Raw genomic sequence first — 27,522 nt, 5'->3', positions numbered from 1 at the left:
TCCTGGGTCTATTACAGGCTCCTCTGTGATCCCACTCCCAGCAGATGTTTTGCTTTGGCTCTTCTCTGGGAGATTTGATCCTCCCTCTTACCTCTTTCCTGCAAATTTATTGATTTTGATGATTTATTTACTCATTTCATAATGTAGCTGGGCATAGGTCAGAGCATTTGACAGAAATCAATTGATTTCCTCCTTATGACAGTGCTGCTAGTCAGGTACTGTGGTTATCCTCATTGAGCAGATAACAAAACTGAGGTGTGGCATGGTAAAGTGACTTGCTAGTAAACCATGGAGCAGGAATCGAACCCTGACTTCAGGCCCATCCCTCCTCCCACCATATTATACTGTCTCTCCAGCAGCTCTGTGATGTTCCAGGGTAGTGGTTTGTGGGAAAGAATGATCCAGGATCCCGACCCCAGCCCAGATCGAGTGCTGGAAATATCCCTGAGCATCTGGAAGCTCAAGATTGAAACCATTAGTCAGAGTGCGAGGAAATGGGTGTTTTTGCCTTATGCAATTTGGTTTTATGAAGACCACAAAATGCAAACATTCTCCTGTTAATTACTCTCTCAAATTTGGACTGTAATTGAGGGAACTAGAGCTGGGGAGAGTGTAGAAACCCGTTGGAGTGGCAGGCCCGCCCGAGTCAGCATTCCCAGCCGCCTTGCACCCGCTCTGTTAATTTTAGAAACTCCTCCAGCCTGGGTGTATTATTAGCTTTATGTACAGAGGGCCACATAGCCCTCAGTGGCCTTTCTATGCACAGTTAAAAAATTTGTTTTCTTTTGTTTTTCCCAGGAGATTAAATGAAGAGGGATGACAGCAGAGTGTATAGAGGGGTGTTTGTGCACTGTGTGTGTGAATGGGGATACCTGCGTGTGGCATCTAATGAGTGTACACAGCTGTCTTTGAGTGAGGTCTATGTGGCTGGGTAGAGCATGCACGGCTCTAGGGCACCCCATAGATGCTGAAACCATCCTCCTGGGGCCCATGACTCATTAGCAGGTGTGCTGCATTCTTTGTAGTAAAGTGTGAAGCTGAGGATGGGTCCTCAGGCCTTAGTTGGGTTCTCTCAGCTGGCATATGGGTACTGGGGCCACAGGAAGGAGTGGTGGGTCATGGGGTAGAGAGGAGCTGAAGTTGGCCTCTTGGCATCCGGCCTTATCCCCCATAAGGCCCTGTCTTGAGGCCCTGAAGAGCTTGGCTTTCAAAGGAGCTGCAGAAAGCTGACTCTCTGGAAACTGCCCTTTGCCACACAGTGTGATGTAGGACAGCCATCTCACCCACCTTCAGCAAAACAGGCCCTACCCTCTCCTTGAATCACAGCCCCATTTTGAGTCTGGCAAACAAACAAACAATTTGCTATGAAGTAATTTCTTTGCAACCTGGAACTCTGCAGGCAGGGGCACTTTGGTTTACAGTGAGACCCTCTGAAGACTCGAGGAAAGCTTATCTCTTTCTTTCCCACTTCCTTCCTCCTGGCTTCCCTGCAGTAAAGAATCAAAGATGGTGGAAAGGTTATTTCTCCTGGGAGAAGACATGCTTATTTCTGCCTCACTTAATACCTTTATCTGTTATTGTGTAAATGTCTAAATTAATAGCAGAGGGAAACAGCTCTGCAGTGCAAGTTTTTGGTCTTGGGGCCAGCCCTGGGATGGCTGGTGCTTGGGCAGGGTCCCTGGGAATAACTGGCCATGCCTTCTGGATTGGGGTCTTGGCCACCTGTGTTGTTTCCACACTCCAGAAGGCCCCCTGCTTGGTGAGTTGGGAGAAACCCACCACAGACCTGTGAGTTGGTGTTGTGCCTCCTCCTCATGCTGCTCAACTTCTCCAAGGCTTTGCCCTGAGGCTCCCTCTACAAACGACTTGAAGGTGCCTGAGGCCTTAGGAGAAATGATTCTGGAAGCCCTGGGCTGGTCTCTTTCTATCACATTGAGTGGTATCTCACTGGTGCCTGAAATCCCCCCATTAATTATTCTTGTTTTGAAGCTATCTCTCCCCCTCCACACCCCCATGTTAGGATGCAAACCTCTGAGGGAAGGAGATGGTCAGACATTTTCTGATTATAGGGGATGGACTAAAGGTGGATGCCAGAGAACCAGTTTGGGAGAGGGCCAGATCAGAATGATAGGACTCATTACACAGTGAGGAAACTGAGGCCCAGAATAGGGAGGCCCTTCCGGATGTCACATAGCATGTTGATGACAAAGCTGGGGCCGGAGCCTGGGCCTCCTGCCTTCCAGGCACCTGAGTCATGTCTGTACCTCCCCTGCTCTTTGGTCATGGTCTGTGGAATGTCTCCCTGACAGCCCATCTCAAGCCACAGCTGACCCTCAGGGAGGATGGGGCAGCCTAGCCTGAGCCTGGGGTGGTGTGGGGTGAGCTGCTCCTTTTGCTAAAACAGCCTCTTGCTTCTCTCTGAGTGTCACTGATTTGCTTTTCAGCCTGACTCTTACTGCGGGCTGGGGATGGGAGGAGGAAGCTTGTTGTTGGGGCTCGGGGAAACTCACAGAAGGGCAGCACGGAGGGTATCCTTAGTGAATGAAGAGCCTCTTATTGTGTCATTCCCTGTGCCAATCTCCACATCTTGCCCTGGTACCCATGTGCCTGTCTTCCTGTCTCAGAACCTCCCAAGACTTCTCTGTCCCAGATGCTGTCCCTCAGATCTTCCTCCCTTAGTCTGTAACTTGTCCTCTCTCTCTTCCTGGCGACTGACCCCTGTGTCTCTGGGCAGATTTTACTGGGACCTGACCATGCTGCTGCTGATGGTGGGAAACCTGATTATCATTCCTGTGGGCATCACCTTCTTCAAGGATGAGAACACCACACCCTGGATTGTCTTCAATGTGGTGTCAGACACATTCTTCCTCATCGACTTGGTCCTCAACTTCCGCACAGGGATCGTGGTGGAGGACAACACAGAGATCATCCTGGACCCGCAGCGGATTAAAATGAAGTACCTGAAAAGCTGGTTCATGGTAGATTTCATTTCCTCCATCCCCGTGGACTACATCTTCCTCATTGTGGAGACACGCATCGACTCGGAGGTCTACAAGACTGCCCGGGCCCTGCGCATTGTCCGCTTCACGAAGATCCTCAGCCTCTTACGCCTGTTACGCCTCTCCCGCCTCATTCGATATATTCACCAGTGGGAAGAGGTAAGTGGTCAGTGCAAACCTCTTGGGGGAAAGGCCACTCCCCACAGAGGGAGTGAGGAACTGGCAGGGAACCTCAGATAATTGAACATAGGCTGTCAGATTGTGGCAGGCACACCTGCTCCAAGAGGACAAATACTAGTAAGTTCTTGACCTCTTATCATGTGCTGGATACTTTACATGCAGTATCTCAATGAAGTGTGTAACAGCTATAGAGGGAACCATATAGGTACATGTATATACTCATTTTTCACCTGAAGAAACAGACAGAAATATTAAGTGACTTATACAAGGTTGCATGATTAGTAATTTGTGAACCTGGAATGTGAACTTAAGCCGATCACCTCTAGAGCCCACATTATTAACCACTGCGTTATGTTGTAGGGTTTGTAAACCCATAAACTTGTTGGGGACAGGCAGGGAATAGGGATGGGTGAAAAGGGCCAGTTGGGGGACAGTAGACAGTGTGGTGGATGAGAAGAACTAGAGAACATCTCCGTTATATTGGGTGGCCTCTATGCAGCTCCAGCTAATTTTTGTCAAGTGGGAATGGGCCCAGGGTTGCTAGATCTATAGCATTATGAGAAATGGAAATCTGGATTTTTATACAAATTTTGTTGGCAACTCTCTTAGTTTGGGTTCTTCCTGAGCAGAACCTGAGACAAAGATTTGCATGAAAGGGATGTTTTGGGGATGCATTCCCAGGAAAATCTGGTAAGGGGACTGGGGAGAGGGACAGGGAAAGGCAGGAAGCCAAGCAATGGTTGGACATTGGAGGGTGTCCTGTGGATGGCTGTTTGCCTCAGCCCTATGGGATCTGAGGATAGTGTGCGCCACACCTTGGAGTTGTCCCAGTCAGGGCAAGGGAGTTGGAATGTTTATATCCCCTTACCTGTCAGTCATTGGTTCAAGGCACTGCCAGCCCTCAGCACTCACAGCCAAAGCAGTTTCCAGCAGCCCGGGCAGGCCTCTGACAAAAGGTGCGGCCGCTGGCTGTAGAGAGTGAAATCACGCGGGCAAGTTGGAGTCTTGTGCTCAGAAACTGTAAAGGGATCCTAGGGGCTGTGAACACTGGCTACAGGAGGAAAATAAAACATTGAAAAAGAACTGGGCGGACCAACTGCATTGTGAACAAACCTCACTCATCCATGGGCTGAAGCAGTCATCTGCAGCAGAGGAGCTAAGGGCTTTGCTGGGAGGAAGAGCAGCTGACCTTGCCAAGTGCTTCGGTCTGTGTCTGCCACCCACCCAAGTTACACAACTTGGCAGCAGCGGCAGGCAGGCCAGCCTGGAGGGCCTACTCTCTCTGTGAGACAGCCCACCTTGGATCCCTGCCACCTGTGGGCGGGACAAGCTTCCATGGAGGGCCATTTCCCGCTCCATCCCTGTGCCGCGTGGCTGACTTCCCAGCCTCCAGGACCCCCTGCTTGCCTGGCAGAAGTTCCCATGTTCAGGACATGAAGCCCCCCATGCTCACCCCCAGCAGCAGCCTGGGCCTCGACTGGCAGCACCTATGGCTGATGGTCAGAGGCGTCATGAACGCATGTGCCATAGGAGAAGTGTGTGCACCAGTTTGGCAGCGTCCCTCCATGGCAGAAATTCTCTTTGGCTTGGAAAATTCACATTACTTATGCTGACAGAGAGGGGCCGTGACTCTCCCAAGGTCATGCAGTTAGACCTCTGGTAGAACTGGGACAGAATCCAGCTAGCCCTCTTGGCCCCCAGCACATAGTGTGGGCTGTCCCACCCCGGTGTAGTGGAATGGCGCATTTAAGACCCAAGTTAAAATCCCGGCTCCACACTGCCTAGCATGTAGCTTTGGGTCCACTTTGCCTCTCTGTGCCTCAGTCTCTTTATCTGCAAAATAGGTATAAGTTGTACCTGATGTTTATAAAGCCTTAGCATGAAGCCTGGTGCAGAAGAACTGTTTAATATGTGTCCCTCCTGGCCGGGCGCGGTGGCTCACGCCTGTAATCCTAGCACTTTGGGAGGCCGAGATGGGTGGATTGCTTGAGGCCAGGAGTTCAAAACCAGCCTGGCCAACGTGGTGAAACCCCGTCTCTACTAAAAATACAAAAAATTAGCCAGGCGTGGTGGTGGGCGCCTGTAATCCCAGCTACTCGGGAGGCTGAAATAAGAGAATTGCTTGAACCCAGGAGGCAGAGGTTGCAGAGTGAGCCAAGATCGCACCACTGTACTCCAGCCTGGGCAACAAGAGTGAAACTCCGTCTCAAAAAAATAAATAAATAGATGTTATTTATATTTATAATATATATATATTTATACACACACACACACACACACACACACACACACACCTACCTCCCTCCCCACCAAGTTGTCTTAGTAACATTTCCTTGGTTCCCCATACTTAGCTGTCAAGAGAAACAGGGCAAGATTTATGATCCTCATGTGTCAAGTGAGGAAACTGAAGATCAGAAAGGCCAGCCGCCCCAGTGGTAGGGCTTTTGGCCTAGGCCTCCTGTCTTCCTGTTCCATGCACTTCCCGCCTTCTCAGATGGAAAGGGAATGACTTTGATTCTACGATTGTTTCCTTTCATGGCTGGGGCCCCTCCATGGGGGACTGGACTTCATTCAGTCCAGCAAGTGCTTGCCGGGCACCCACCTGTGCTGGCCTGGGTGGGCGCTGGGATCAAAGGACTAGGACGACTGTTGGCAGAGAGTGGGAGGGCAGTGGCAGGGGAGGAGATCTGTGCAACAGGTTGAGTTGGAGGTGCCTGTGAGACAGAGATGTGCAGAGATGTGGCAGGTGGTCTGAGCTGAGGGCTGAGAGGGGACAGTGACTCTGGAGGGTGCGGCTGGGTCCACTCTGAGGGGCTGTGAAGGAAAGATGGAGGCGTGTTTCCCCTCATGCTCTGACACACTTGTCTCCTGGTTTCCGTCGCAGGTGGAAATGTAGGACCAGGTTGGCTCCCTCAGACCCTGAGAAACCCCCAACCTTCTGCATGTCTTGGACCCACAGCTAGACTGCCATGAAAAGCAGAGACACGCCAGCTCTTTCCCTCCTCCAGCATCCATTCGTGTCTCCAGGCCTCAGCCTCCCAGGGGCTGACCTTACTCCTCCAGGGCCTGAGGGCTGTGGTCTTTTGTAGGAGTTGGCAGAGATGCCAGTGGCTGGACAGGGTGAGTCGTGGGTTGGAGCTAAGCTTGTCTTTCACGTCCCCACATTATGCATCCTGGGAGCTCAGGCCCAGGGCTCCTGTCCCCACTGCCACCCTGGCCAGGCCACCCTCTTGGGCACCCAGAACTGGTCAGGCGCTGGTCCTGGCCTTTCTCTGGGGGAGGCAGAGGCCCCAGGAGGCCTTGAGTCAGGCCTCTGAACTAGACGTGCCGCCCCATCTCGTGGGGAGGAAGAAGATCCCAGGAGGCCAGATGGATGACTCTCACCCTTCCACACACAAACCTTTATCTCTCCTACCAGCTGGGAAGAAAATTGCTTTGAGCTAGTTTCTGCCGGGCACACTGGCCAGCCTAGGGCTCTCACTGGACCCCTGAGATTGGACTGGGGTTTCCCAGCTGGCCCCAGGAACCCTGTCTCCAGGACCATAGCAGGCCACTCCAGCCCGGGGGCTTCTCCCACCTCTGCTTGGCCCAGAGGCAGCAGCAGAAAGACCCTTTGGAGCCCTAGGTCCACATGAGAGCTGAGGAGAGTATTTAGTACAGAAAACCCTGCCCTAATCTCCTCTTTCAAGTCCCTCTATGAGTCTCTTTCCTCCTTTGGGCCTCAGTTTCCCCACTTGTGAGGCACATAATGATGTTCTCTGAAGCTGTGGCTCCCTGGGGCCCAGTCCCCAGCTCCCATCTGCCTTGGCAAGGTTTATGTTAGCTGATTCTGAAGACCTTGTTGTAGCTCACGGAACGTGAAGGAGGATGCCCTCGGTTGGGGCTAGGGAGCTTGCCTCCCACAGACTGGGGAAAGCTTGCCCCAGGCTGCCTGGCACTGCAAGAAGCTAGACTCCTGACCCCAGGCTTCTACTGCCTCCCCCAGCCGGGCCCAGACCAGGCCCCCAGGAGATCTCCTAAGTGTTGGTGGCAGTCAGGCAGTCTTGTGAGTCAGCGCAGGTGGGCCACCATCTTGGAGGATGCAAGCCTCTTGCCTCCATCCTGGGCGATCTGGGTCAGCAGACTCCCTCCCGAGCCTCTCCAGCCATGCCTCCTCCCTCCCTCCGAGGTGTGAGCTTGTTCCAGGCATGGAGGCTATTGTTAGAAACCATGGTTACCCTTCTTTGGACGTTACCCTGCAAGGCTCAGCACTCCAGTGACCCATCCCAGAAGTCTCTCCTCTCCCTTGGCAGCCTGAAGTGGCCAAAGAGGGGCTGGAGGCAGAAGGCCAGCTGGGGCTGCTGTGTGGCCTCTGATGAGTCCCCTCATCCTGTAGACCTTGATTGCCTCATCTCAGAATCAGGTGCTTGGCATCTGCGAGAAGTGGAGATGACACAAGGAGAGGTCCTGGGGCGTGGGTACTGGCCCTGTCTCCTGCACCCAGGATGGGACCCGGCATGACCCTCAGTGCAGCTGCCTTCAAACTGCACCCAGCATGCATATGCAGCAGCCTGTTCTGCCAGGCCTGGGGTTGCTGTCTTCAACGCAGACACTTGTTCTTGAGACACAGGTGGAAGTTGTTCTTCCATGAGGAGAAAATGAATCCACAGGAGAGGATTCAATCAGGCCCCAGGAAGAGGCCTTGGTGGAAACAGCAGCAGCCAGACCTCCAATTTCTGGCCTCTCCTTGGGACTGAGAAATCAACTCTTTGTTGGGAGGGCTGGGAAAGAGAGGGAAGGAAAGGAACCAACATGTCCTGAGTGCCTACCATGTGCTAGTGGTGGATATGATCTCACCTGACCCCCATGATAGCCCTGAGATCTGGCAATTACCCATTCCACAGATGAGGAAACTGAGGCTCGGGGTGGAAAAGGCAGTGGCTCTGTCCTTGCACTGCAGTTGAGAAACTGCAGAAGGAGTGAGAGCAGGGCTTCCCCAAGTTCCATGTGTGGCAGAGTGAGCTGCCTGGACCGCCTGACGGGCAAGGCTTGTAGTGGCCTGGAAATGAAGGTGCTCAACCCCTGCAGTCAGAACCAACATCGTAAGAGGGAGTTCTAATGAAATATAAAGAGCAAGGCAAATATTTGCCTGGTGCAACTGACTCTCCGGTGGCCTGTGGCCCCAGCCAACAGTGGGGACACACCAGTGTTTAGCAGCCTCTCCCAGCAACGTCCAGCCTTGTTCTCGGCAACCACTTCCCAGGTGCTGGAGAGTGGTGCAGGTGAGGTGAGTGTCCTCAAATCTAGGGCACCCCCTAACCTGAATGGATGTGCCCCCACCAGCTCTTCCCAGGCAGCTCAGACTGTGCGTTGTTGGCGCTCCAGCTTTGTGGTGTCTAAAAACCACCTGAAACACACCTCTCCAGCCCTGCCACCTGCACCCACCACCCCAGTGCCCACAGTCCTCCTCACCGCAGTTCCAGGCTTCACCACCACCATGCTCTCAGTAGGACACGGAAGTCTGTGTCCCCTGCAGGAGAAGGCACCTTGGTTCTTCCCACAGGGACAAGGGTAGGTTCCCTGTGGGCTGCATCTGCCCAGAGCGGGTACCTTTTTGTTCTTCCACTGTCTACACTAGCAGGAGCCCTGCTGACCACCATTCTCGTCACTGTCACCATTGCCTTCACCTTCATCACGAAGCCCTTCTCAGTTCCTGAAACCTTACCACATGCTCTGTGCCGTGTTCATTGCTGAGATCACGATAAAGGCACAATTAGACAAGGACCTGATCTTAGAAGAAAAGGAGTAATGAAAAGATAAAGGCGATACAGAAGGAAAGGAGGTCATTGCAGGAAAACATGCCACCTTCGATGCTCTGTCTTTAAGGCCCAGCGTGATCTGTCCAAAGGAGCAGTTACTGTGGCCTGTGACAGTCTGGGACTCTTTCTAGCCATGCCCGGAGGCTTCCTTGAGCTCCCATATGGTACCCACTCATTCATTTAGATGTACGCGCATTTATTCAGGCAATCAGCAGATATTTTTGATGCCTGCTTGTGCTAAGCATGGAGGAACACAGAAGTGAGAAGTAGAGAGGAGCCCTGCCTCGTGCAGCAGCACGCAAGTCAGTGAATGTCATTTCAGATAGTGAGAACTCCAGGAAGGAAATTCATCAGGGCAAAGAGTCACAGTGAGAATGGGAAGGGAGAGCCCTTGGCTGTGTCACACACAGGGATCCAGTGTCCTTCCTTTCCATGGAAGTGGCTTTTGAGCCAAGACAGGATGACAAGAAGGAGCTGGAGGCAGCACGCAGGCAGATGGAAGAGCAAGCCCAGTACTGAGGGCCTGGGGCAAGCACGAACTGGCCTGGGGCATTCAAGGACATGAAGGAAGGCCGCTGTGGCCAGAGATGGCTTTGGGCAGAGTCAGGGAGGCCGGTAGTTGGGAGCCGAGATGCCGAGGGCCACAGTTGGCATTTGGAGTGTATTCATGGGTGCAGTGGGAAGTCATTGGAAGGTTTATGGTAAGAGAGTGACATGGTCTGATTTATGTCTCCAAGAGGTCTTTCTAGCTGCTTGGTTGAGAGTGGCTTGGAGGGGCGGGGAGCCTCATCAAGAGGTTGGGGCTGTCATCTTGCGGGTGTTTAGATTGGGGTCATATTGGGATTGGAGGGAAGTAAATGGCTTTGAGATGTCCACTTAGGCAGTAGAGCCAAAACCACCTGGATTGATGGGATGTGGGGAGGGATGAGAGACTCACTCACGGCTGGCTGGTGGGTTTTTGTTGCTCAGCCTCACGAACAGCGACACCAATTGTGAGATGGAAACAGGTTTTGGATGTGTCCACGTAGAGATAGACCGAGACAGCTGGACATACGAGCCAATTTGTGTTACTCTGAGTCCACCTGTGTGTCTTAGGCATGACAGAAGCAAGGAACTGGGGGTATCCCAGGGCTTGAAAGAGGAGCACAGGGAAGGTTGCCTTCATCAGAGGAGGAGCATTGCCGGTCTCCACAGCCCCTTGTGATGGCGGCAACACAGTTGCATCCTGGGGAGCCCTTTAGCCAGGGAGACCCCACTCAGGGTGCTTCCAGAGATGCCCTAGACTTTGATACCCTCCTCAACTAAAGAAACTTTCAGCAGAATTCCTGCTGCCTTGACAAGCCAGGGGTGGGAGGAGAACGGCATGCTTGTGGCTGTGGGCTCTGCTACCAGCCGTGCTGTCCAGCCCCACAGCAGCATCTGGGCTGGGGGTGCTCAGAGCCTGGACCAGCCTCTCTACTCACCTCCCCATTGTGCCCTGCTTGCCTTCCTCTGTTGCTGGGTTTCTATATACATGTTCCCAAGTCCCTTTCCTGGGTGCGGCTTCCTTCCCCAGCCAGACTATGAGCTCTGGGCAAGCAAGGGCAAGACTTTCCTCCCTGACCCCCATAGGGAGGGGGGCTTTCTTGGGCACTGACACAGGCTGACTTCCAGGGGACATGGCATAGACATTTGGGTCTTTCTAAGGGTACTGCCCCGAGACCCAGGAAAGAAGGGCCCCACTGGCCCCCACTCCGGAAGGCTCCTCTCCCCACAGTGAGGAGTCTGGGGGCTCTTTGCAACTCTTTCTTGACCACACTTGGGTACCCAGCATTCCTGGCACAGACACCTCTAAGCTTGCTGTCAAGGCCTGTGCAGGGCCGTTCCCAGGATGTCCTGAGGGGACCATTCTGCCTCTGTGCCCACCCCTTGACCCACTTACAAGTGGCTGTTCGCAGGAGTGGCATGGATGTGGCTTGGCTGTGGGCCAGGGTCCTCTGCTGGGGGGCACAGTCAGGGAAGAGAAGGGAGGTGGGCTGTGCTCTGGTGTGGTTTTGTAAGAGTTCTCATTTCAAGTCTGGCCCTCCAGGGCATTACGATGGTGCCTTCTGTCAAGGTAGGAGAATAGAATATATTTTCTTTAACAGTTTGTTGGCTTGAGTTACGACTTTAAATATCCAAATCTGTGGCTTGTGGAACCTGATTTGCCCCTTGTCCTGGACTCTCCAACCCTGGGGCAGGCCTGCCTCATTACCCCAGCTCAGCACTCAGCCATGTGCCTCGGGGAGGCTGCTGTCCTGCCCCCACGGGCCCCCGTCTGTGCCTCCAGTACCCTTGGCCTCCTGCGCAGCTTTCCTGTCTGTGGCAGAGGGCTGGGTTCTGAAGGTTGGTGTCTCAGTCAGCTCAGGCTGTGACAACATAAACAACAGAGGCTGGGGGCGCTGAAATAACAAACACTACTTCCCACAGCTCTGGAGGCTGGCAGTCTGGGTTGAGAGTGCCAGCACGGGGGCTTCTGGTAAGGCCTTTTTTTTTTCTGACTTGTAGACGGCCGCCTTCTCCCTGTGCCCTCACAGGACAAAGAGATCGTCTCTGTCTGGTCTCTTTTTATAAGGGCACTCATCCCACTCATGAGGGTGCCAACTTCATGACCTGATGACCTTCCGAAGGCCTCATTTCCAAATGCCATCACCTCGAGGGTTAGGAATTCAACGTAGGAATTTGAGAGGGACACAAAGGTGCAGTCCCTAGCAGCTGGGAAGAGAAGGAGCTTAATAATAATGGCCCCACCCTTGCGTCTATGACGGGTGTGCAGAGAGCACTTTGCTAGCTAGTTTAATTCACAAGCAATCTTGTAAAACAGGGGGCAGATGTCTAGCTTGTTTGAGGGGGAGGCTGAGTTGTGGTGGTGGGGAGGCAGGTGTGGAGGATGGCCGGCTCTGAGACCGTGAATGGTGCTGTGTCACTCGCCCTCCCCAAACCCCTGGTGTCTTAGCTCAGACACCAGGGGGTTGGGTGAGCTGGGGAGCTAGTGGCATCCTGGTCAACCAAGACATAGAAAGGTTAGGATTTGCCCAGGGTCATAGACATGTCACATTCACCTAAGTGTTAATTAAGGAGGCAAAAGTGGGATCTTCCCCCCGGCTGGTGCTGGGGGCTCTGGTGCTCAGGGACCTGCTGGGGAGAGCCTCACGGTCTTAGGATACAGGTGCCTGAACATGACCAGCCACAGAAAATGGACCAGAGACCCCAAATTCATAATCAGATCTGCTCTGTGTCCCAGACCCAGGCCCCAGCCCAGCCACAGACCGGCCTGCTCTCCAGGGCCCACCATTCCTTCCAGGCCATGGCAGATGCTGAGCAGTGTCAGCTTAGCCAGGAGCTCAAACGCTGACAGCCCCAGAGCTGGTCTGTGCCCCAGTGGTACTGGGCTGCAGGGCACACAGCACCGTCTACACCATCACACTGTGTGCAGGGGCTGGGGAGGCGAGAAGCTGGCAATTCCCACCTGGCCTAGGACCCAGCTTGCTGTGTGAATCTGGGCACCTCATTCAGCCACTTTGGGTTTGAGTTGTTTTATCCACAAAATGGAACTGCTGAGAGCTACCCTTTCCTCACTAGGTCAATCTAACAATCTAATATGGTGGCTACAGGCCTCAGAATCAGGCAGACCTGGCTACAACATCTGGCCTTTCCACTGCCACCGTGATCTTGGGCAAGTTCCTGTACTTCTCTGAGCCTTGGTATAAAACAGATGAACAATATCTTCAGCAAAGGATTTTTGTGAGTTTAAATAGAGGATGGCTGTGGAATTTCATGTCCACAGTCAGGTGTGGCACTATTGTCCCCTCTGTCACCAGGGCCACAGGGAAATGATGGGGCAAGCTTAAGCTACCGGACCCCATGAACCTTTCGCTGTCCACTTCATCCTGGAAAGACTCCCAGCTTTGTAGCTGGAACCTTCAGGGTCATGCCCTTGATGGGGGCCACAGGTGGGGGTGACTGCAGGTGATGAGCTGTGGACAAAAAGTACTCATCTTCGGTCACTAGTATCAGAACAGCTTGCCACTAGCTACAGGGCTGTAGCTGGAAGACCAGTAGACAGGGGCTGACATATCTAGGCTCTGTCTGTTTGGGCCTAGTTTCCACATCTGAAATGGGCTTAAACTAGGTCTCTGTGGCATTTGACCCAAGCCCCCCTCCAAGAGGGGTGTCTTTGCCTGGGAATAGTATGGAGGGATGAGAATGGGGGCTGGGTGGCTAGACCCACTTCAAAGTCTCCCAGGCCACAGAAGCAAGGCCAGAGCTTCCAGAGACTTTCCTCTAGACTTGCCTCCACCTCTCCATCCCCCACTGCCCTGTCAGCAAGGGGACCCCAGCATGGCAGCTTTGGGAGGAGGAGGGGCTGGGATATGCCCACCTTGGCCCTGTCCAGCTACACTGCAGCCCCCCACTCCGAGCTGCAGGAGTAGAGAGGGGCTGGTGCCAGTGGGCTGGGGTCAAGGGTGCTGTAAAGGAGAACATTACCCCAAATACGTATTAACCAATCAGGAAGATTAATTATTAATAACAGCTTATCAATTAATAATGGTTTGTAATTTATTGAACACTCCTCTACCCATTACTAAGCACTTTATATGTATAATTTAGTCCTTTTGACAGCCCACTCAGATAAGAATTTTTATCACCATTTTCCAGATGAGAAAACATGATCAGAGAGGTTCAAGGTTACACAGCTAGGAACTGGGTAGGACCTGGGCTTGGGATCAAGGTCTGCCTGAACTTGGGGCCTGTGAGCCTGTGCCGCTTCCTCTGCAGTTCCGTGGCTACCGTGTGTGAGTCTTGAGAATTTAGTGATAGATTTAGGGAAACACGCCCCTGGCATGTCTGTAGACTTTTGGTTCCCTGAGGAGCCTCAGGCTGGCAGGCTTTTCTCCCTGGTATCCTCACACCCCAGGAAAGCTGAGAAAGTGGCTTCTCTGCCCACTTCTGGGCTGCATGGGGCTCCAGGTGTCCTTCCACATGTCCTGGATGGCTAGACCTTTCAGGAAGACCCCCCATCTGTATAGATGCCAGGAGATGTCCCTCTGGGACCCTGCAGCCTACAGTCTTCCTCTTCCAAGACCTAGACTGACGCCTTCCCATCCCACCCCCAGCCTGGATTTGCACTGAGTGGGCGCCCTGCAGAGTCCAGGCAGAGCAGTGCCCACCAGCAGCTCCAGGGCAGGGAAAGTGGCCGCTGGCCCTCCTGGCCACTCACCTATCCCAGCCAATTTCTCCTCCTCTGCTGGCAGATCTTCCACATGACCTACGACCTGGCCAGCGCCGTGGTGCGCATCGTGAACCTCATCGGCATGATGCTCCTGCTCTGCCACTGGGACGGCTGCCTGCAGTTCCTGGTACCCATGCTACAGGACTTCCCTGACGACTGCTGGGTGTCCATCAACAACATGGTGGTGAGTGCGCCCAGCCCGGTCCTCTCTCTGGGCCATAGGCGGGCTCTCCAGAGGTAGGGTGGCGAGATGTGGACTTGGAACTTCTGAGTTCCAGCATGTAGGACCCTGAGTGCTGCCTGGGGCTGAGGGGGCACATAGCTCTACCCAGTACAGGCCCAATCGCTTGCTGCCAGTCCAGGGATCCATTCACAGCTCTGGGTTGGGAGCTGGTACCTCCATCTTCTCACAGCCTCCATTGCAACTGGGAGCCTCAGTATTTCATCTTGATTTTACCCAGGGAGACTAAGACCTGGGCGGCCTCCCCCAGGCATGGCAATGCTGGGCTGGCAGCTCCTGGCCTCCTGCCTCTGCCCCTTAGAAGCCAAGTCCTTAAAAGCTGAGCCTGAGGCTGGGTGCAGTGGCTCATACCAGTAATCCCAGTGCTTTAGGAGGCCGAGGCAGGGGGATCCCTTCAGCCCAGGAATTGTAAACCAGCCTGAGCGGCATAGGGAGACCCCTGACTTCAACAAATAAATAAAATTTATTTTTAAAAAACTAGCTGGTGTGGTGGCAAGCACATGTGTCCCGGCTGTACAGGGGGATCCCTTGAGCTCGCTTGTACTTCAGCCTGGGTGACAGAGCAAGATCCTGTCTCAAAAGGAATAAATAAATAAAAATAAAAAACAAAAAGCTGAGCCCAAGAAAACAGACGCCTTCAAGGGTACTATTTGCAGCCCACGCAGACTCCCAGGTCATATGTGGTCACTTTCTACTCCAACAGCAGAGCTGGGCTGCCCCCACTCGCCAACATATCCTGATCCGAGGTGGAGTCCCGATAGGGAGGGCAGGCAGGATGAAGCCTGACCCCACCCTATCCCTCCAACCTTGCAAGTGGGTCAGGGTGGGTGAGAGAAGTTGAACTTGGGGCCTCGGAAGCCATAGGGCAGAGTTTCCAGTCCCCCTGTGGATGAGGTGGGTTCCAGGCAGGACAGAAGACACCCTGGATCTGTGAGCCTTTCTGTGTCTCTGGTGAACCCCTGCCTCTCCCAGGCTTCCTCCCAGTCAGTTTGGTTTGTTCTGAAGGCAAATTCCCAGGGCCCCAGGGGAGGAAAAATTGGCTTTGAAAGAGGTGAAAGAGACCCTGAGGCATCTTTCAGCATCAAACAGGCCTTTACAAAACAGCCTTTTGATGAGCTAAGTGTAAATGAATCAGCCATATGGATTGAATTCCCTGTTCCCAGAGGCTCAGCAGTAAAGGCCGCTGGGGGCCTACCCCTGTTCCCCAAGGCTGGGAACCCAGGTCTCTTCCACCCCTGGGGATGAGCCCTCCTGGTCCCCACTCCAGTCTAGACTGAGCCATCAGACCCAAGGAGCCAGCTCAGCTCTGTTCAGGGCAGTCTGGCTGACCTTGAATATGGCTCGAAGCTCACGGGCTCCTGCGCCTTCCCCTGGGGGCTGGGCCTCTGGCAGGTGCTCTGTGGGCCTGGGTAGGTTTCTGCACTGTGGCTCATGCATCTGCCCTGTGAGCAGAAAGACACCAGGGAGGTGGCCAGTGCTGGCATTCGTCAGGTTCAATGGGCCCTCATCTGGGGCAGTGTCCTCTCTATGTGAGGGTGGCAGGCCCACACATGCACTAAATTCAAGAGATGGCCCTTCCGATCCCAGTGTTCCCACGCTGAGCCTTCCTTGAGACACCGACTGGCTTTGTAGACAAAAATAGCCAAGAGCTTCCCTCCTCCTGTCCCCACGCCTTGTGTGTTCCGGAGAGTCTGCCTTGGGGGTAGTGGGAGGAGAACTGGTGGCCGCAGCCCTAGCAGAGGCGGGCAGGGTTCATGCAGGAGGCCCGTTAGCTCACAGCTTTAACTTTTGCTCATCCAAAATGAGGACAGTGTTTTTCGGCTCAGTCCGCCAGAGCTTGTCCCCCCAAGGGAAGCATATCTGGTTTTATAATTGAGGTCAGTGGGGAAATGGGCTTCACTTGGCAGCTGTTTAGGGGGTTGGGGGGTGGAGCTGTTTTAGCAAGGGAAGGACAGCACGGTGGCTCAGCCCGGGGCCTTTGCTACCCAGCCAGGAGGCTCCAAGCTGCCCCATGGGGGCTGGGCCACGCTGGCTCCCGTACCTTTACTGGGGCTTCCAGTCTGATCTCTGCCCCCATTGCAAGAGGAAGGCACAAGAGGAGGACTCGCTGGCAGCACAGGCTGCTTCTCACCCAAGGCTTTCAGCCAACAGCAAGGTTAGGGAGCCCTGGGCCCAGCCACTGAGAAAGTTAGGTTGAGGTGAGGAGGTGGCAGGGCCTTTTCTTGCTAGTGAGAAGGGCCTTCCCTCTCATCCACTGTCCCCACCCATCCGTCTGTCCACAGAACAACTCCTGGGGGAAGCAGTACTCCTACGCGCTCTTCAAGGCCATGAGCCACATGCTGTGCATCGGCTACGGGCGGCAGGCGCCCGTGGGCATGTCCGACGTCTGGCTCACCATGCTCAGCATGATCGTGGGTGCCACCTGCTACGCCATGTTCATTGGCCACGCCACTGCCCTCATCCAGTCCCTGGACTCCTCCCGGCGCCAGTACCAGGAAAAGGTAGGTCTACCCAGGGAGCACCCGCACATTGGTCCCTCCCAAGAGGGAGCACAGGCCACCAGCCAGTGGGCCCCCAGCAGGAACCGCCCCCTGCTCCCACCCCACAGGATCGGAACTCCCAGTGTGAGGGAAGAGCAGGAGGAGGGAGACACCTCTGAGATGAGAATCTGAGTTTCAGCTCCCTGGCCTGGCCCCTCCACATGTCTTTTTTTCTGTTCCCACCTTCCCCGTCTCCAGTGTCACTGGGGCCTGTGGCTCCTGGCTGAGGCCCTGTGCCCTCCGTGCTGCTCCAGTAGGCATTTGACAGTCACCACGCCCTTCCTGGCTGCTCACTCGTTCTCCAGGACCGCACTCTCGCGGTGTTGCTCCTGCCCCTCTGGCCAGTCCCCTGCCCCCATTTGCTGGCTTCTCTTCCCAGTCACTGCCACTGGAGTCCCCAGTGGCCCGGGCCTCGCCCCTGACCCTCCCTCTGTCTGGGGCCCCGGTGCTGTGGTTTCACCACCCAGGCCCACAGGCTCTGTGCCCATCTTTGCACAGTGGGGCCTGCACAGCATCAGCAGCCCCACCTCATCTCTCAGCTCCAGGTGGTTTATTTCATCCCTCTCTGGACACCCCACGCCCCTCATGTCTGTAATGAGAAGGCTGCCCTGTTCTCTCTACTCCAAGTCTCTGCTCTTCCCAGATGCCCAGGCCAGAGACTAGGAGCCATCCCTGGCCTCTCTCTGTCATCAATGCCTACCTCAAAGCCACAGCTCCTTCTCTGCATCCCAACCACCTTCCCCCGTCCCCAGCTTCATCTCTCCCTGGGGTCTCAACAGCAGCCCCCTCACCACAGAGAATGAGTCCTGTGGCCTGGAGTCAGGCCACCTGGGCCCTACCCCAGCTTCTCTGCTGCCGAGCTCTGTTTGAGCGTGGGCCTGTGCCTCCACAGCGTGAGGCCCCGTTTCCTCATCTGCAGGGCGGGGGTGGTACTGGGCATCAGGCTGTGGGGGTTGCAAGTAAGCTCCCCTGTGTTTATCAGCTAAGCAGGTTCTGCCCTGGCACCTTCCACTGCACACCTCACACAGCAGTTGGAGCGGCATCTAAAACACGTCAGCCTCATCCTCTGCTTGAAACTCTTCAGGGACTTCACGTTGCTCTGAAGATGTAGATTAACTCCTCAGCATGTTTTCCCAGCCTGGCATTTGAGGAGCATAACCAGGGATCTGCCCTCATGCTCAGCTCCTGCCCTGGGCCTTGCACCCTTTATTTCAGCCTGGCCAGACTTCTCTCCCCATGCCTGCTCCTGCCATGGGACCCAGACACGGGCTTTCACCCTCAACTCTCCTCCCCAGGTGTCCACCTGACACCCTCTCCACGTCCAGCCTCACCACTTAGAGAAGCCGTCTGTGACCTGGCCAGCCCCTCACCTGTCATGTGACCCCATGGCACCCTCTCCTCCTTCACCACACTCGGCACTCTGTGGTGATGTAATTAACCATAGGCAGCCATCTGTTTAACAAACCCACCTTCCCTCTCCAGGCCACGGCTCCATGAGGGGAGGACCCAGTATGTCGTTTTCTGTTTTATGCCCCATGCCTGGCACACAGTAGGGTCAGCATTTGTGGATTCACTGCCTGCCTGCCTGTCCCAGGCACTGTCCTTTGGTGGGGTGACTGACAGGTGGGGGCCACCCAGGTGTGGAGGTCCAGGTCCCATGATGCCAAGAAGAGAGCTCAGGAGAGCCTACAGAGCTGGGAGGCAAGGAGAGCTCACTGTGGGGAAGCAGAGGAAGGAGAAGGTGGAAGAGAATTCTAGGCCAGGCATCAGGATGAGGATGAGCATAGGGGTGGTGGCAGAGAAATTAGCCTGGCTAGAACACAGGGTCCTAGGTTAGAGGACCCTTCTCTACCTCCTAGGGAGGTAGAGAAGGCATCAAGCTACAAAGGTCAGGGCTTAGTCCGGGCCCAGATGAGGGATCATTCTGGAGCCAGCACCAGGACCCAGCCTGTGACTGGGGTGGGGCTCAGCCAGGTGAGGGATCCTTCTGGAGCCAGCACCAGTGCCCAGCCTGTGACTGGGGTGGGGCTCAGCATGTGAGTGGGGTCAGGGCTCAGTGTGTGATCAAGGCTAGGTTTTAGTCTGGGGTCAAGATCAGGGATTAGTTTAGAAAAAGCATCTGGGGCCGGGCGCTGTGGCTCACGCCTGTAATCCCAGCACTTTGGGAGGCCAAGGCGGGCAGATCACCTGAGGTCAAGAGTTCATGACCAGCCTGGCCAACATGGTGAAACTTCATCCCTACTAAAAGTAAAAAAAAAATTAGCTGGGCGTGGTGGTGCACACCTGTAGTCCCAGCTACTCAGGGAGGCTGAGGCAGGAGAATCACTTGAACCTAGGAGGCGGAGGTTGCAGTGAGCTAAGATTGCACCACTGCACCCCAGCCTGGGCAACAGAGGGAGACTCCATCTCAAAAAAAAAAAAAAAAGAAAAAGAAAAAGCGTCTGGGAGGCTGGGCATGATGGCTCATGCCTGCAATCCCAGCACTTTGAGAGGCTGAAGCGAGCTGATTTCTTGAGCCCAGGAGTTCAAGAGCAGCCTGGGCAACGTGGCAAAACCCTGTCTGTACTAAAAATACAAAAATTAGCCAGGCGTGGTGGCATGTGCCTATAGTGCCAGCTGTTTAGGAGGCTGAGATGGGAGAATCGCTTGAGCCCAGGAGGTTGAGGCTGCAGTGAGCTGTGTTCATATCACTGCACTCCAGTCTAGGCAACACAACGAGACCCTGTCTTAACAAAAAAAATAAATAAATAAATAAATAAATAAAAAGAAAAAAAGAAAAGAAAATGCATCAGAGTTTATTTTAGGGCCAGAGTCAAGGCGTCTGTGGCTTTTCATTTGAGACTTTAAAATGTTTGTCCTTTGGCTAATATCTAAGTCTGCCCAATAAATTTCTCTTAAATGTCTTCCCTCCTCTCCATCCCCACGTCTGTCTCTCACCTGGACCACTTCAACCTTTTAACTCCTGCCCCATGTCCAGACCCTGCCTCCCTACCCCTACCTGTTCTCTGGGGGTCAGGGGAGGGACTCTCTAAAACACAGCTCCAGGTTTTCCAGCTGCCTCCATCTCTGTAACCAGCCAGGAAGTCACTGTCCCCTGGGACTTTGCATAACTTGGAGCAGTCAGAGGCCAGGGTGGCTGGAAGAAGTTTAGGAAATGTCATTTCTCAGCCCTCATTTGCCCGTGGGTGTTTCTGTGCAGCAGTTGTGCGTTCCCACCTCTTTGGAGCACACATAGATGCAAACAGGCTGCCCCGTTTCTGATTGCTGCTGGGGTGATAGGGACTTCCTCTACTTCCCATCCGGGAGGAGTCTGTGTTGTTGCCTAATCAATACCTCCCATCCCTCATCCTGCTCTTGGGAATCCCACTGTCCACCCACAATCTAGGATGGTGGGAGCAATGTCCACTCCTCTCAGTGAGGGCGGGCAGGATCGTTTCTTATTTGTTTGAGCCCCAGGGTCTGAGGCTCACAAATCTTTTGTACCCGAGCCTCTATTTGAAGGTCCCCTCAAATTAGTCTACCCTGCTTTTCCCTTACCTGGAGTTGCTCTCAACGAAATGACCCGGGGTCTCAGCTGAGGCCACGTTTGGATTCATAGCATCGAGCAGCCAGGCATCCTTGCTTCTGCCTCTGAGCGTTCTGATCCATCGCACCCTTGCCTCCTGACTGTGCCAGTTGTCACTGCTGGGAGGAAACAGCTTCTTTCCCCGCAGAGTCGGTGAGGCCTCCCTGTCCCCAGTGTAACATTCCAAGGAAATGTGATCGACCTCCCTGGAGATACAGTTGATGTCCTGTCACTGGGCTTTGGACATTCCCTGCCGCCCTCACCCACCTCCTTAGTATTGAACACAGCGAGGAGCAGATGCTGGTGGGGGCCCCTCCTCCATGCCAAGCAGCTGGGAGCCCGGGCAGTTGTTTTGAGCACAGTGAGGTCATTTCCACACTGTAGACCTCAGATCTCAAGGAACCAAGTTTAGCCAGGAAATCCCCCGGGGTGGGTGCCCGGATGTGGTGCCTGCCGAGGTGGTGGGGCTGGCTGCTGACGCCCCCTGGTGGGGTGGAGCTGACGCCCCCTTCTCCCGGCCTCAGTACAAGCAGGTGGAGCAGTACATGTCCTTTCACAAGCTCCCGCCCGACACCCGGCAGCGCATCCACGACTACTACGAGCACCGCTACCAGGGCAAGATGTTCGACGAGGAGAGCATCCTGGGCGAGCTAAGCGAGCCCCTGCGGGAGGTGAGCTGTGTGGCGGCCCGGCGTGGAGGGGAGCCAGGCCTTCCTGGCAGCCAGCTCCCCTCACCACCTCCTTCCCGTGTCCCAATCCACCCTGTCCGGCAGGAGATCATCAACTTTAACTGTCGGAAGCTGGTGGCCTCCATGCCACTGTTTGCCAATGCGGACCCCAACTTCGTGACGTCCATGCTGACCAAGCTGCGTTTCGAGGTCTTCCAGCCTGGGGACTACATCATCCGGGAAGGCACCATTGGCAAGAAGATGTACTTCATCCAGCATGGCGTGGTCAGCGTGCTCACCAAGGGCAACAAGGAGACCAAGCTGGCCGACGGCTCCTACTTTGGAGGTGAGGCAGCCCTGGGCCCTGGGGGACAGGGCAGCTGCTCCCAGGGGCTGGTTTGGGGAGATACCGAGGGGACAGAGGCAGTGAGCACCCTTCTTGGCCACAGCCTGGAGGGAGGTGTCTGTGAGCCCAGGGTAGGGGTGTCTTAGTCAGTCTGGGTTCTTGTAACAAAAGTGCCGCAGACTGGGTGGCTTGTAAACTGCAGAAATGTATGTGTCATGGTTCTGGAGGCTGGCCATCTGAGCTGAGGGGGCCAGCATGGTTGGGGCTGGTGAGGGCCCTCTTCTGGGCTGCACTGCTGACTTCTCGCTGTGTCCTCATGTGGCAGAAGGAGGATGAGCCAGCTCCCCGGCCTCCTCCTAAAAAGGCACTAATTCCATCCACGAGGGCTCCACCCTCGTGATCTAATCACCTCCCTAGGCCCCACCTCCAAATACCATCATGCTGGGATTAGGGGTTCAACATATAAATTTTGGGGGAACACATTCAGTCCAGAGCAGAGGGTATGTCCCAAAGATGGGAAAGTCTGTCCAGCCCCCATTTGGTGGGGAAGAGGCATCCAGTGTGGCCGCAGTCTGGGGGCAGGGCCTTGTGAGCCTGCCAAGGCTTCTGTGCCAGGCAGTCAGGGCCAAGGTCAGGGTGGGCAGTCCCCCTGGCCTGGGCAGGCTGTGCATGCCTCATCCTGAGTCCTGATGCTCTGGCAGAGATCTGCCTGCTGACCCGGGGCCGGCGCACAGCCAGCGTGAGGGCCGACACCTACTGCCGCCTCTACTCGCTGAGCGTGGACAACTTCAATGAGGTGCTGGAGGAGTACCCCATGATGCGAAGGGCCTTCGAGACCGTGGCGCTGGACCGCCTGGACCGCATTGGTGAGGGGGAGGGGCCACAGGCGGGGCAGGTGGGGGGTGTTGGGGGAGGAGGGCAGGGCTCCTTTATGCCTAAGCCAGGTCTGCACCTGATCTCCTTCCCCGCTCTGCCCTGAGTGCCTGTTCTTGTTCTGTGGCCCAGGCAAGAAGAACTCCATCCTCCTCCACAAAGTCCAGCACGACCTCAACTCCGGCGTCTTCAACTACCAGGAGAATGAGATCATCCAGCAGATTGTGCAGCATGACCGGGAGATGGCCCACTGCGCGCACCGCGTCCAGGCTGCTGCCTCTGCCACCCCAACCCCCACGCCCGTCATCTGGACCCCGCTGATCCAGGCACCACTGCAGGCTGCCGCTGCCACCACTTCTGTGGCCATAGCCCTCACCCACCACCCTCGCCTGCCTGCTGCCATCTTCCGCCCTCCCCCAGGATCTGGGCTGGGCAACCTCGGTGCCGGGCAGACGCCAAGGCACCTGAAACGGCTGCAGTCCCTGATCCCTTCTGCGCTGGGCTCCGCCTCGCCCGCCAGCAGCCCGTCCCAGGTGGACACACCGTCTTCATCCTCCTTCCACATCCAACAGCTGGCTGGATTCTCTGCCCCCGCTGGACTGAGCCCACTCCTGCCCTCATCCAGCTCCTCCCCACCCCCCGGGGCCTGTGGCTCCCCCTCGGCTCCCACACCATCAGCTGGCGTAGCCGCCACCACCATAGCCGGGTTTGGCCACTTCCACAAGGCGCTGGGTGGCTCCCTGTCCTCCTCCGACTCTCCCCTGCTCACCCCGCTGCAGCCAGGCGCCCGCTCCCCGCAGGCTGCCCAGCCATCTCCCGCGCCACCCGGGGCCCGGGGAGGCCTGGGACTCCCGGAGCACTTCCTGCCACCCCCACCCTCATCCAGATCCCCGTCATCTAGCCCCGGGCAGCTGGGCCAGCCTCCCGGGGAGTTGTCCCTAGGTCTGGCCACTGGCCCACTGAGCACGCCAGAGACACCCCCACGGCAGCCTGAGCCGCCGTCCCTTGTGGCAGGGGCCTCTGGGGGGGCTTCCCCTGTAGGCTTTACTCCCCGAGGAGGTCTCAGCCCCCCTGGCCACAGCCCAGGCCCCCCAAGAACCTTCCCGAGTGCCCCGCCCCGGGCCTCTGGCTCCCACGGATCCTTGCTCCTGCCACCTGCATCCAGCCCCCCACCACCCCAGGTCCCCCAGCGCCGGGGCACACCCCCGCTCACCCCCGGCCGCCTCACCCAGGACCTCAAGCTCATCTCCGCGTCTCAGCCAGCCCTGCCTCAGGACGGGGCGCAGACTCTCCGCAGAGCCTCCCCGCACTCCTCAGGGGAGTCCATGGCTGCCTTCCCGCTCTTCCCCAGGGCTGGGGGTGGCAGCGGGGGCAGTGGGAGCAGCGGGGGCCTCGGTCCCCCTGGGAGGCCCTATGGTGCCATCCCCGGCCAGCACGTCACTCTGCCTCGGAAGACATCCTCAGGTTCTTTGCCACCCCCTCTGTCTTTGTTTGGGGCAAGAGCCACCTCTTCTGGGGGGCCCCCTCTGACTGCTGGACCCCAGAGGGAACCTGGGGCCAGGCCTGAGCCAGTGCGCTCCAAACTGCCATCCAATCTATGAGCTGGGCCCTTCCTTCCCTCTTCTTTCTTCTTTTCTCTCCCTTCCTTCTTCCTTCAGGTTTAACTGTGATTAGGAGATATACCAATAACAGTAATAATTATTTAAAAAACCACACACACCAGAAAAACAAAAGACAGCAGAAAATAACCAGGTATTCTTAGAGCTATAGATTTTTGGTCACTTGCTTTTATAGACTATTTTAATACTCAGCACTAGAGGGAGGGAGGGGGAGGGAGGAGGGAGCAGGCAGGTCCCAAATGCAAAAGCCAGAGAAAGGCAGATGGGGTCTCCGGGGCTGGGCAGGGGTGGGAGTGGCCAGTGTTGGCGGTTCTTAGAGCAGATGTGTCATTGTGTTCATTTAGAGAAACAGCTGCCATCAGCCCGTTAGCTGTAACTTGGAGCTCCACTCTGCCCCCAGAAAGGGGCTGCCCTGGGGTGTGCCCTGGGGAGCCTCAGAAGCCTGCGACCTTGGGAGAAAAGGGCCAGGGCCCTGAGGGCCTAGCATTTTTTCTACTGTAAACGTAGCAAGATCTGTATATGAATATGTATATGTATATGTATGTAAGATGTGTATATGTATAGCTATGTAGCGCTCTGTAGAGCCATGTAGATAGCCACTCACATGTGCGCACACGTGTGCGGTCTAGTTTAATCCCATGTTGACAGGATGCCCAGGTCACCTTACACCCAGCAACCCGCCTTGGCCCACAGGCTGTGCACTGCATGGTCTAGGGACGTTCTCTCTCCAGTCCTCAGGGAAGAGGACCCCAGGACTTCGCAGCAGGCCCCCTCTCTCCCCATCTCTGGTCTCAAAGCCAGTCCCAGCCTGACCTCTCACCACACGGAAGTGGAAGACTCCCCTTTCCTAGGGCCTCAAGCACACACCGCCACCTCTGGGGCCGTCAGTTTGCCCATCTGTACAGTGGGAGGTGAGCGGAACTTCTGTTTATTGAGTCTGCTCTGTGCCAAGCACTGGTTTCGCACTTTACACACATTAACTCCTTCAGTTTCACAAAGACCATGGGGTGGGTACTTTGATTCTCCCCATTTAGCAGAGGAAGAAACAGTTTTGGGTAATTTTTCCAGAATCATGTAACTAGGAGTGGCAGAGTGGGGACTGATTTGAGGTTCGAGTCCACGCCTCCTTGAGGCCCAAGTCTGTGTTCCTTCCATCAGAAAACTGTGTTGAGGGGGGCTGAGGTAGATGGTCCCCAAGCATGGTACAGAAGGAAGACACCAGATTTTGGCAGCAGTCAGGCCTGGGTTTGAATCCCAGCCCTGCCACTTCTTAGCTGTATGATCTTGGGCAAGTTATCTGACCTTTCTGTCACCTCATTTGTAAAATGGGAATAATTATGGTACTGCCTCACAAGGACCTATGAGGACCAGATGAGAAAAATCTATATGTGAAATGCCCAGCCCAGCGCCTGGCACATACCATGGTAGGTGCTCAATAAAAAATCACATTTCTTCTGCCCCTCATATGCCCAGCCTATTGCTCCAGCAAACTATGTGAGAGCCCAGGGAGCTTTGGCTGAGGGCTCCAAGACTTAAAATCTCAGGACTCAGGAGGTGGCTGGGCCTCCCTAAGGGCCCAAGGAAGGTGTGTGGCCAGAGGTGGGTGGGAGCCAGGCCTTGAGAAGTGGGAAGACTTCAACAGGGAGAGAGGGAGGGAATGGTGGGTGGGATGGAGTGTATGGTGGGGAGATTCCTGAGGTGGATGTGGAGTGGTGGATCAGGGCTTTGGGAGGGGATCCCCAGGCTGAGGGGTCAGAGGGACGGCCTTGGGTGATAGGGTAAGGGATTGTCTGGGCTTAGTCCTGGCAACTAGGAGCCATAAGCAGGTTCCAGATTGCGGGAACGAGAAAGCAGCTCAGATGCCTTTGGAGGCACCATCCTCCCTCCTCCCAGATGGGATCTTGCCAGAGCCAAGGTCAGGGGTCTGCCCCTGCCTATAGGGCCAGAGCAGGTATGGCTGCAATCCCCAAGTAATGAGAAGGGCTGGTCCCACATTATCCATCCAGAACCTTCCATGCTCCAAGCCAGAATGTTGGCAAGATCGGGTTTTGCCTTGAGCTATCCTGGGATGTGAGACAAACCGATTTCTCCATAGATGGGCTGCAGGGAGTGGGAGGCAGTACTCCAGGAGAGAAGTGGGTGAAGGTTCCTGGGATCTTAGGTAAAGACTAGACGCCGCCTAGTACTGGTCTCTACTGTGCTGGCTCAGGAGTTCTGAGAACTGGAAGGACTTAGCCTCAACCTGAGTTCTGCACACACCCCTTCCCCTTAAGGAAGGCAGCTCTGAGAGGCAGCAGGACTTGATCCAAACCCACAGTCTTGTCCTGGAGGCAGCAGGGGTGAAGGTGGAGGGTCCAGGGCCATGAGGAGCCCCCTTGCCATCAGAGCCTGGCCTAACCACCCTCTTCTCTACTTACACACACATGCATTTTATAATAGCTCTGACCCAACCTGGCCACTCTGCAGAGACTGGGACAGACAGGTGCAGGCAATGGGCCCTCCCACACCCAGTCACCTACAAGGAATTTTCAAATCCACTTTTAAAACAGAAACCGGTAAATGCGCCGTATTGTATATTTTATTTAAATAAAAAAAATTCCAGCAGATGCTACCTTCTTCTAGGGGCCAGGGATAGGGGTGGGGGTGAGGTCATTGGGAAATCCTGGAGTCTTGGGAACTCGGGTGTGGAAGGCAGGGGACATGGCCCAGAGGGCACTTGTGTATGTGCAAACCTATGCCTGCAAGAGCATGGAGCTGTGTTCTGTGCATAGAGGTGTGCACGGGGGATGTGCAAGGCCTGGCTATGGACACAGGTGTGCACGTGCTTATGGACTGGTGAGAATCATTGAGGAGGGTGAGAGCGAGTGGGCATGTGTGCTTTGCTAGTGGAGGGGAGAAACGCAGGAGTGGGGGAGGTGTGAGACCCTTCCCACCCCCTACTGCCAGGGCTGGCTGAGGAGGAGGGTGGTGAATGTGCACCTGGGCTCCATCCAGCTAGATAGAGGGGGATGCCGTCTTAGGTAAGCTCTCAGAAGTGGGAGGGTGGCTGGAGACACAAGGTGACTGGGCAAGGGGGAGGGCATCAGAGGGTGGCCGAGGGGTGGGGGAACAGCGCTGGGCTCCTGTGTGGGTTGGTGGGGGCCCGAGGGCAGAGGCAGCATGTGGGGCCTCTGGAAGGAGGCAGGGCACGGACTTCCCACTGCTGTGCCTGTTCGGGGCTAGGCCTGGTCCCCGGGTGACCCCCTTCCCCACCCCTGTCTCCAGAGGGTTCCTCCGGGCCCTGGGACTTCGCGGGGTCGGGCAGAGGCCCCCTCCTGGGGTGGCGACGGGCGACTGGAAAAACCAAGTCCTCGCGGCTCCCGCCGGTATAGGGAGTGCCGTGTCTCCCGCCCTAGGAGGGGAAAGTCCTCGGAAAAGGGCAGGAAACCCAGCCGTTCCCCAT

At 55.5% G+C, this 27,522-nt stretch overlaps 1 protein-coding gene and 1 long non-coding RNA gene across 3 annotated transcripts in view, besides 4 other annotated features; one reads left to right on the top strand and one right to left on the bottom strand.

The window, feature by feature from the left end:
- The window catches only part of HCN4 (hyperpolarization activated cyclic nucleotide gated potassium channel 4), a 49,100-nt gene extending 22,416 nt beyond the window's left edge, over nucleotides 1-26,684 (top strand). The window contains exons 2-8 of one of the 2 annotated variants that reach the window (NM_005477.3): nucleotides 2,735-3,158; nucleotides 14,251-14,412; nucleotides 16,752-16,970; nucleotides 21,099-21,245; nucleotides 21,348-21,588; nucleotides 22,290-22,454; nucleotides 22,594-26,684. In NM_005477.3, coding sequence (NP_005468.1) covers nucleotides 2,735-3,158; nucleotides 14,251-14,412; nucleotides 16,752-16,970; nucleotides 21,099-21,245; nucleotides 21,348-21,588; nucleotides 22,290-22,454; nucleotides 22,594-24,062 — 2,827 coding nt within the window. In that variant the 3' untranslated portion in view covers nucleotides 24,063-26,684. Of the gene's footprint in view, nucleotides 1-2,734; nucleotides 3,159-11,054; nucleotides 11,475-14,250; nucleotides 14,413-16,751; nucleotides 16,971-21,098; nucleotides 21,246-21,347; nucleotides 21,589-22,289; nucleotides 22,455-22,593 lie in introns of those variants that run through there. The other variant, XM_011521148.3, reaches the window with a different exon arrangement.
- On the bottom strand, nucleotides 1,359-11,283 carry LOC105370890 (uncharacterized). The gene is made up of 6 exons (NR_188273.1): nucleotides 11,211-11,283; nucleotides 10,899-11,064; nucleotides 5,478-5,530; nucleotides 4,048-4,230; nucleotides 2,961-3,273; nucleotides 1,359-1,487 (listed from the first exon to the last, which is right to left on the bottom strand). It is a non-coding gene; the product is annotated as an uncharacterized LOC105370890 (long non-coding RNA).
- Nucleotides 1,923-3,122: an enhancer, noted in NCBI's record as "CDK7 strongly-dependent group 2 enhancer chr15:73635762-73636961 (GRCh37/hg19 assembly coordinates)". NCBI's record gives its function as "activates an origin of replication core promoter dependent on BRD2, BRD4, P300/CBP, MED14 and CDK7 cofactors, with strong dependence on CDK7, by STARR-seq in HCT116 cells {active_cell/tissue: HCT116}" and the evidence as "EXISTENCE:reporter gene assay evidence [ECO:0000049][PMID:35650434]".
- Nucleotides 15,748-16,651: an enhancer, noted in NCBI's record as "NANOG-H3K27ac-H3K4me1 hESC enhancer chr15:73622233-73623136 (GRCh37/hg19 assembly coordinates)". NCBI's record gives its function as "activates a minimal SCP1, AML or CMV promoter by ChIP-STARR-seq in primed H9 embryonic stem cells {active_cell/tissue: H9 hESC(primed)}" and the evidence as "EXISTENCE:reporter gene assay evidence [ECO:0000049][PMID:30033119]".
- Nucleotides 20,799-21,299: an enhancer, noted in NCBI's record as "H3K4me1 hESC enhancer chr15:73617585-73618085 (GRCh37/hg19 assembly coordinates)". NCBI's record gives its function as "activates a minimal SCP1, AML or CMV promoter by ChIP-STARR-seq in primed H9 embryonic stem cells {active_cell/tissue: H9 hESC(primed)}" and the evidence as "EXISTENCE:reporter gene assay evidence [ECO:0000049][PMID:30033119]".
- Nucleotides 21,300-21,800: an enhancer, noted in NCBI's record as "H3K4me1 hESC enhancer chr15:73617084-73617584 (GRCh37/hg19 assembly coordinates)". NCBI's record gives its function as "activates a minimal SCP1, AML or CMV promoter by ChIP-STARR-seq in naive and primed H9 embryonic stem cells {active_cell/tissue: H9 hESC(naive and primed)}" and the evidence as "EXISTENCE:reporter gene assay evidence [ECO:0000049][PMID:30033119]".

The sequence above is a fragment of the Homo sapiens genome, chromosome 15 (assembly GCF_000001405.40).
Source record: "Homo sapiens chromosome 15, GRCh38.p14 Primary Assembly".
Taxonomy (NCBI): domain Eukaryota; kingdom Metazoa; phylum Chordata; class Mammalia; order Primates; family Hominidae; genus Homo; species Homo sapiens.
The sequence above is the reverse complement of the archived record's forward strand: the minus strand, read 5'-3'. Positions and strand labels throughout refer to the sequence as shown.